Here is a 9933-nt window from a genome sequence, read left to right on the forward strand (position 1 = left end):
AAGGGGGCATCTGTCACTATAGCTCTAAAATTATATGTCTCTGATGTTCAGTTAAATGGAATATTTGTGCTTCAGGAAACTTTAATTTGGGTTAAACCTGTGGCCATATTATCAATATATATGAGCCTTCCTTATTGGCTTCTGGTGGTGATTAAATGAGAAAGGTAAGGGATAAAGTTCTCTCCAGATTCATTTAAACGACTGTCTCAAAAACTGCTCTCCAGAGCACTACTCCAGGAAGAGATCAGGGCGTTTTCCACAGAAAAAAAACTGATTTGGTGATCAGAAAAGTATAGAAAAGCCCACTTAACATATCTCCTTCCTAAAGATTCACAATGAACATTATTATTTAAGAGCTTTTTGAAGTGCAAATCCATGAGCTTTTTAACCCTGAGCAATTGCTACCAAGCTAACTCTGAAATTTACTGCTTTTAGTCAAAATACACTCTTCAGCTAATGCTTTCTTCCAGCTGGCTGTCTTCTTGCCTGCCCTGTGTCGTAAAATGGGGGTCCCTTACTGCATTATCAAGGGGAAGGCAAGACTGGAATATCTAGTCCACAGGAAGACCTACACCACTGTCACCTTCACACAAGTGAAGTCAGAAGACAAAGGCGCTTTGGCTAAGCTGGTGGAAGCCATCAGGACCAATTACAACGACAGATACTGTGAGATCCGCCGTCACTGAGGCAGCAATGTCCTGGGTCCCAAGTCTGTGGCTCGTATCGCCAAGCTCAAAAAGGCAAAGGCTAAAGAACTTGCCAGTAAACTGGGTTAAATGTACACTGTCGAGTTTTCTGTACATAAAAATAATTAAAATACAAATTTTCCTTCAAAACAAAGCAACAAAAACAAAAAAAAGAGCTTTGAGAAATTCTGGAATAAAGAGACATGATGGAAATTTTTTAATACACTGTTGCCAATCTGTAAGACCATAAAGGCTGGGCACGGTGGCTCAGGACTGTAATCCCAGCACTTTGAGAAGCCGAGGCAGGCAGATCATGAGGTCAGAAGATCAAGACCTTCCTGGCCAACATGGTGAAATCCCGTCTTGACTAAAAATACAAAAATTAGCTGGGCATGGTGGCACGCACCTGTAGTCCCAGCTACTCAGGAGGCTGAGGCAGGAGAATCACTTGAACCCAGGAGGCGAAGGTTGCAGTGAGCCGAGATTGCACCACTGCACTCCAGCCTGGCGACAGAGGGAGACTCCGTGTCAGACACTGGAAGACTCCGTCTCAAAAGAAAAAAAGACGGACGGGCGCTGTGGCTCACGTCTGTAATCCCAGCACTTTGGGAGGCTGAGGCAGGCAAGATCACCTGAGGTCAGGAGTTCACGACCAGCCTAGCCAACGTGGTGAAACCCCATCTCTACTAAAAATACAAAAAATTAGCCGGGTTTGGTGGCACACACCTGTAATCCCACCTATTCGGGAGGCTGAGGCAGGAGAATCGCTTGAACCAGGGAAGCGGAGGTTGCAGTGACCCGAGATCACGCCACTGCACTCCAGCCTGGGCAACAAGAGCAAAACTCCATATCAAAAAAAAAAAAAAAAAAAAAAAAAAAAAAAAAAACAACTGAGAAATGGAAATCCAGGTTTGCCACTTACCAGCTGAGTGATCTTGGATAAGATATCTCAATTCTCTGGCTCTTCTTGACATTAAATTATGTAACACATAATGCTAAAGGTACATAGGAAACATGGAATAGATATTAGGGGGGTTTTTAACCTTCTGTCTTAACATGCTTTTAAATCCTATAGTTTTATAGAGCATGTGTTCTAGTAAATTAGTTGCTAATTTATGTTTCTATTCAAGAAAATCATTTGCTTTCATGCACCCAGTTCTATGGTGGGCACCTTGTGTTCTTGACTACCTGTCATCCATCCCTCTCTCTTTCCAAAAGTACCCTGATTTATTATTCAGGCATTAACTTTTCTACAGTATAGCCTCTGCATGTCCAGGGAAATGTGCCCACCCCAAGCTTGGAGGTTGGCTGTAGGGGTTGATTTAGGAAAAGGTAATGATGCAAATGAGATCGATGTGACTCAGGAGAGTGCTCCTGTGTGCCCTTCCTAGCCAGGGTGTAGACGGGGTGCTGTCCTGTGTGGGGCATTCTCCGTCTGCCTATCCACATCCGTTCTCCACCCTGCCCCTCTAGGCTTTATGTGTTGAAAACTATCTTCTGTGGATTTCGTCATGTACACTCCCCAGATCTCTTGTTTGGGGATGATTTTGGCTAATGGAAGACACTGCAACAGAATATATAGCAAAAGAAAATAATGGCTGTCTTTCATCTTTCTCTCCCCTCGACTGTCTCACAGCATGTTATTGTGTAGACCTACATAGCCTCTCCTATTAACTTCAAGACTTTCAGAGGCTATGACGGGAAAAGAATTGACATGGCAAATTCAAAATTTCTTTTTGTATTCTGAAAGCAAAGTAAAGTCTTAGAGCTGACTCCTATCAATTACTTTTATTTCATCACATGAATAAATGAATAAGAATATAAAAAAATTAATGGAGAATAAACAAATATATAAATAAATGAGAATAAGATAATTGAAGATGCTGTGATCATGTGGCATTCCATTTGTTGTGGAGGGACACACACAGATGAGGAGTGGACAGTTTTAACTGGATGGGGACAGAGATGTCCAGGAAAGTGGTTTCATAAAGGAGATTTCAATTAAGCTCATTTTTCAGAAATAAATATTTTCAAAGAACACAAAGAGGAAAAGGAAATTACTAGCAAGTGATTGTTCAACTGCTTAATAAAAATTACAGTTCTGAAACAAACATATTTTGAGAAACTTTATGTAGTTCATTACGGTTGAAATACTGAGTCTGAAGCATCAGAAACAGGGCAAGAGACCCGTCAGAGGCAGACCAGGGCGCCTCCCAGCCAGGCCTTTTCCACAACATGAGAGAAGTGGGCTTCATCCTTCTGTCAGAGGGTTTGTGTTTATGAATGTTAGGCAAGAGGTAAATATGACCAGTGCTGTACCTTTTTTTTCTTTTTGAGAAAGGGCCTCACTCTGTTGCCCAGGCTGGAGTGCAGTGGCGCAATCTTGGCTCGCTGCAGCCTTGAACTCCCGGGCTCAAGCAATCCTCCTGCTTCAGTCTCCTGAGTAGAAAGGAGCACGCAGGTGGAAGAGTACACTGACAGACACCAGCAGGCCAGTAGGCCATCGATGGGTGGAACGAGGCAGAGTTTGCAGGGAGCAGTGGGAGAAGAGTCGAGGGAAAATCATCTCCCTTCTGGCTTCCCCCGTCTGCTGAGAGTGACTTCCGCTCAATAAAACCTTGCACTCATTCTCCAAGTCTATTTGTGATCTGATTCTTCAGGTACATCAAGACAAGAACCTCTGCCTCCCAGGTTCAAGCGATTCTCCTGCCTTAGCCTCCCGAGTAGCTGGGACTACAGGTGCCTGCCACCACACACGGCTAACTTTTTGTATTTTTTTTTAGTAGAGATGGGGTTTCACTGTGTTAGCCAGGATGGTCCCCATCTCCTGACCTCGTGATCCGCCCACCTCAGCCTCCCAAAGTGCTGGGATTACAGACGTGAGCCATCGTGCCTGGCCTAGGTTTTTTTTAGAATTTCCCAAGATGGTTTAAAATTTATATGGAAATGGAAATAATGTAGAATAGCCAATGTAATCTTGACAAAGAACAACATAGAGGAAGAGCTCCATAACATTGGTCTCAGCAACGATTTTTTGAAGACGACCTCAAAAGCACAGCAAAAGCAAAAATAGACAAATGGGGTTACATCAAACTGAAAAGATTTTCCACAGTCAGGGAAACAACTGCAGAGTAAACAGATAACCTACAAAATGGGGGAAAATATTGCAAATCATACATCTGATAAGTGGTTCTTATCTAAAATACATAAGGAACTCAAGTCAGCAAGGAAAGAAATACCCCAGTTAAAAAATGGGCAAAGGACCTGAATGCATATTTCCTGAAAGAAGACATACGAATGGCCAGTGGTTATATGAAAATATGCTCAACATCACTAATCATCAAGCAAATGTAAATTAAAACCATAATAGAATACCGCTTCACACCTGTTAGAATAGCTATTACCAAAAAGATGAGATAACAAGTGTTGGCGAGGATGCTGAGAAAAGGGTATCCTTGCACACTGTTGGTAGGAATGTAAGTTGATACAGCTGTTATGAAAAACCATATGGAGTTTCCTCAAAAAAATTAAAAACAGAACTACCATGTGATGCAGAAATCCCAACACTGATTATATAACCAAAGAAAATAGAATCAGTATGCCAAAAATATATGTGCACTGCATGTTCATTCCAGCATTATTCACAGTAGCCAAGGTATGGAAACAACATAAACAACATAAGTATCCATCAATGAATGCATGGATAAAGAAATGTGGAATATACACGCAACATAATGTTAGCCTTAAAAAAGAAGAAAATCCTGTCATTTGTGACAACATGGATAAAACTGAAAGACACTATGTTAAATGAAATAAGCCAGACACAAAAAAATACTGCTTGATCTCACTTCTATGTGGAATCTAAAAAAGCTGAACTCAGATGTAGAAAATAGAAGGAGATTAGCAAGGGTTGGGGTTTGGGGAGAGGTTGGGGTGATGCTGGTCAAAGGATACAAAATTTCAGTTAGGAAGAATAAGGTCAAGAGACCTATTGTACAAGATTGTGACTATAGTCAATATTGTGTTGTATTTTTTAAAATTACTAAGAATTGCTAGATTTTAAGTGTCCTCACCACAAAATAAAATGTGAGGTAATGCACATGTTAATTAGCTCAATTTAGCCATTCAAAAATGTGTGTATATATATATATATATTTCAAAACATCATGTTGTACATAATTATATACAATTTTGTCAATTAAAAATAAATAAGTAAATAAGAAATGTGTACCAAAAAACAGGAAGAAAGAACAAAGGGTGTACACTATCTGATTTCAAGACATACTATAAAGCTACCCTAGTCAGGACAGTGTGACACTGGAATAAAGATGGACAAGTATAGTTCAATGGAGCAGAATATACAGTGCAGAAGTAAATTCACACTTATGAGGTTAACTAATTTCCAACAAAGGCTGATTTCCAACAAAGGCACTGAAATAATTCAATGAGCAAAGGGAAATCTTTTTAATAAATACTTTGGAAAAAATGAATAGCTACAAGGGAAAGCTAAAATAAAATTCAACCTCTATCTCACAGAGTATACAAAAGTTAATTCAAGATGGATCACAAACCCAACATAATAACTAAAACTTTAACATTTTGAGGGGGAAAAAAACATGAGAGAAGTTCTTTGTAGCCAAATAGATATTTCTTGGACTCAACACAGAAATTACTAATTATAAAGGCAAAATAATTACAAGTTGGATTACATTCAAATAAAAAAGCTTCTGTTAATCAAAAAACATACTCCTAAGAAAATGAGTAGGCAAGTAACAGAGAAAATGGGAGAAAATGTATGCAAAACATTTATCTGACAAAGAACTGTTATCCCAAATACACAAAAGATAGCTACAACTCCGTGAAAAAGATAAACAACCCAATTTTAAAATATGCAAAAGACTCGATAAACACTTTAAAATGGAAGACATACAAATAGCCAAAACGCATATGAAAAGATAGTCAACATTATTCATCATTTGAAAAATGCATATAAAAGCACGATATACCACTATGCTACCAGAATGTAGAAAATTGAAAAAAAAACAACAGGGGCTGTATGTAGAGCAAACAGCAATCTCATACATTAATAGTTGTTATATGAAAATAGTACAGCCACTTTGAAAACATTTGTGGCAGTGTCTTATAAAATAAACCTTTACCTATACTCTGGCCCGACAACTCCACACCGAAATATTTCGCAAAAAAAAAGTATGTTAACAAAGCTTGAACAACAAGATTTATAGCAACTTTATTTATTATGTCTCAAACAACTAAAATGTTCATTAACCAGAGATCAGATTTTAAAGTTGTAGTACATTTCTATTTTTTTTTTTTTTTTTTTTTTGAGACTAAGTGTCGCTCTTGTACCCCAGGCTGGAGTGCAATGGCGCAATCTCAGCTCACTGCAACAAACGCCTCCCAGGTTCAAGCGATTCTCTTGCCTCAGCCGCCCAAGTAGCTGGGATTACATGTGCCTGCCACCACACTTGGCTAATTTTTGTATTTTTTATTTACTTATTTATTTTTAGACGGAGTTTTGCTCTTGTTGCCCAGGCTGGAGTGCAACGGCGCAATCTCGGCTCACCGCAATCTCGGCTCACCGCAACCTCCACCTCCTGGGTTCAAGTGATTCTCCTGTCTCAGCGTCCCTAGTAGCTGGGACTACAGGCATGCGCCAACACGCCCGACTAATTTTGTATTTTTAGTAGAGATGGGGTTTCTCCATGTTGGTCAGGCTGGTCTTGAACTCCCAACCTCAGGTGATCCGCCTGCCTCAGCCTCCCAAAATGTTGGGATTACAGGCATGAGCCACTGTGCCCGGCCTCCTAATTTTTGTATTTTTAGTAGAGACGAGGTTTCACCATGTTGGCCAGGCTGGTCTTGAACTCCTGACCTCAGGTGATCCACCTGCCTTGACCTCCCAAAGTGCTGGGATTACAGGCATGAGCCATCGCGCCTGGCCAAAATTGTTGTACATTTCTAGAATGGAATATTACCAAAGAAGAAATACTATTGCTACATGCAACAATATAGATTTAACAAGCTACACACACAAATATGATGCTAGCTACCTGAAATTCTAGGTTATAAAAAACTATGGTTAAAAAAACCAGAAATTGTGTTTTGCTCTTGAGAGAAGGAATTAACTGGGGAGAGGCTCGAGAAACATCCTGTAATGATAGAAAATTTCTATATCTTGGTTAAGATAATAAACAAACAACCCCATTAAAAAGTGGACAAAGGACATGAACAAACACTTTTCAAAAGATGATATACAAGTGGCCAAAAAGCATATGAAAAAAGCTCATCATCACTAACTATTAGAGAAATGCAAATCAAAACCACAATAAGATACCATCTCACACCAGTCAGAATGACTATTATTAAAAAGTCAAAGAATAACAGATGCTGGTGAGGTTGCAGAGAAAGGGAAGACTTATACACTACTGGTGGGAGTGTAATTAGTTCAACTATTGTGGGAAGCAGTGTGGTGACTCCTCAAGTAACTAACAAGAGAACTACCATTCAACTGAGCAATCCTACTATTGTGTATATTCAAAAGAATACAAATTGTTCTACCATAAAGACACATGCATGCATATGTTCACTGCAGCACTATTCATAATAGCAAAGACATAGAATCAACCCAAATGCCCATCCGTGGTAGAATGAATAAAGAAAATGTGGAAAATATAAATCAATACTATGCAGCCATAAAAAAGAACGAGATTATATCCTTTGTAGGAACATGGATGGAGCTGGAGGCCATTATCCTTAGCAAGCTAACACAGGAACAGAAAACCACATACCACATGTTCTCACTTATAAGCAGGAGCTAAATGATGAGAACTCATGGACACATAGAGGGGAACAACAGATACTGGGGCCTATCAGAGGGCAGAGGGTGGGAGGAGGGAGAGGTTCAGGACAAATAACTAGTGGGTGCTAGGCTTAAGACCAGGGTGATGAAACACTCTGTACAACAACCCCTGTGACATAAGTTCACCTGTATAACAAACCTACACATGTACCCCTGAACTTAAAATAAAAGTTAACAAATAAAGATAGGAATGTGGGTTACAGAAGTATATGTACTTGTCAAAACTCTTAATTGCAACTTTTAGATCTGTTAAGTTTCACTGTATGAAAATTTTAGTTCAGAATAAAAGAATTCTACACAACATTGACCTTTACACAGTAGTTTATCTTTCTGGTATGGCAATTCTGAAATTTCTTTCTGTGTACTTGATGATTGAGTAAATGAATGCGTATATTGGGGAAATTGGGAGTCAGGTTGGTTACTGATGGAGAGGGGGAAAGGTGAAAATGCAACCTATGGTGTTGATTTGGAACTGAGGACATAAGCCTGAATACATACTTTATAATAGGTAAATGAAAGATAGATAATGATAGACAAATCAACTAGATAGATAGATGATAGATTAGATAGATATAGACAGAATAATAGATTTAGTTGTATTTCTGAGCTCTGTATGTTGAGAGTACCTAGAAGCAACGGCTCTTTGAAAGCAATGAACACACTAGTCACACTAGTACTAGTACCTTAGTAAAAGATTCTCCATGACATGAGAAAATTCTCTACAATGAGGAGCCAGAAGTTAATACAAAGAATAGCACAGGAAAAGTACTGAATGAGTCTGGAAGATCTTCTTGTGTTATAAAGTAATAGAGAAGTCAAAAGTATGATAGACATATATCAAAAGGGCACAGGCACCAGCTTGAAGGGCTCACATTGGTCAAATCTAAAATAAGTAAATAATAATTGTAATAGATTATAACTCTTTAAATAAGTATTTATGATCCCATTCTGATGTAATAAAATAACTAAGTAGGTCTTACTAGCACCTTAATATTGAACTTTCCAGCCTCCAGAACTGTGAGCAATAAATTTCTATTGCTTATAAATTTTTTTAAAAAAAGATTTCAGCCTACTTTCATCTTTGCAACGTGATCATTTTTACCATTATTCAAATAAAAATGTTCCCGTCTATTATAAAAAGAAAATGACTAAGTAAATAAACAGAAGGTAATGCCAACAAATAAATGCACAATAATGGCGTTAGAAAAATCATCAGCGGGTGCTAACAGCAGTGGATAAAGTTTGATGTGGAACAGGGTATTTACATAGTCTTAAAGTGTCTCCTAATAACTTACTTATCTATTACAAGAGGAAAAACCGTAACTTTCCAATGGAGAGACTTTATTGACCATACCTTAATCAAAAAATCAAACTTAACATCAGCCACATTAGTACAAAGTGACATTACACATTTCTTGACGATATACTGAGAAGAACAGAGAATAATTTCTATGGCATTCCTGTGAAAAGAATCAAAAGACCTGAATTTGTGAAAAGTGTCAAGGTCAAGAAAGAAAAAAAATGTCTGAGGAACTGTCTGAGTTAAAGGAGACTGAATGCAATTGAAGGTGACTTAATGCAATGCTTAACTCTGGACCGGGAACAAAATAGCTACAGAGGACATTGAACAGCTGATGAAATTTGAAAATAGACTGTCAATTAAATGTCCTGATTTTTATAAGTGTTTTTTGATTATATAAGATGTACCTTTGTTCTTAGGAAATGTGTGCTAAATATTTCAATGATAAAAGGAGCACAGTATCTTCAATTGACTAAGAAGTGGTTTAGGAAAAATAAATAGTTAACTGTATATTATATAACTCTATATATTATGTATATTATCTATTATGTATATGTAGAGAAATACATATAAAATAAAGACCTATAAATAATTGTTACTAAGTGTATATATATATGTGTGTGTGTATGTGTTCCTTGTACTATTCTTGAAATTTCCCCATATCTGAAATTACGTAAAATAGTGATAAAAAAGAATACTCATTGACAGATGGTAAATGGGAAATGCATCAAAAATTGTATCTTCCCTATCATAATTTCTCAAATTTGTGTAGATGAGAAAATTGCAAATTGTCCAAAGATACTGACAGTGAGTGAAGGTGTCTGAAATAAACAGCATAGGTATAAAAGGTGGCTGAAAGATCAACACTTTCCTGTTCAAAAATGACAAGCAATCTATTGTGCAAAGCTTCCTGCATGGTAAAATGGATTTTAAATGTCCTAACATCACATATTTTCATAAAGAGCACTCTGGCCCATAGAGCTGCTTGCTATATGACTACTAGAGATACGAAAGAATTTACTTCTTACTGCACTTGATAAAATGACAGGAAATGACAATTTAAAAAT

The 9933-nt window shown here is 37.9% G+C and overlaps 2 pseudogenes; both read left to right on the forward strand.

Moving 5' to 3' along the window:
- Positions 1-319: 319 nt before the first annotated feature.
- LOC124903254 (uncharacterized) lies at positions 320-399 on the forward strand (annotated as a pseudogene).
- RPL7AP73 (ribosomal protein L7a pseudogene 73) lies at positions 466-833 on the forward strand (annotated as a pseudogene).

Source organism: Homo sapiens, chromosome 13 (genome assembly GCF_000001405.40).
Source record: "Homo sapiens chromosome 13, GRCh38.p14 Primary Assembly".
Lineage (NCBI taxonomy): Eukaryota > Metazoa > Chordata > Mammalia > Primates > Hominidae > Homo > Homo sapiens.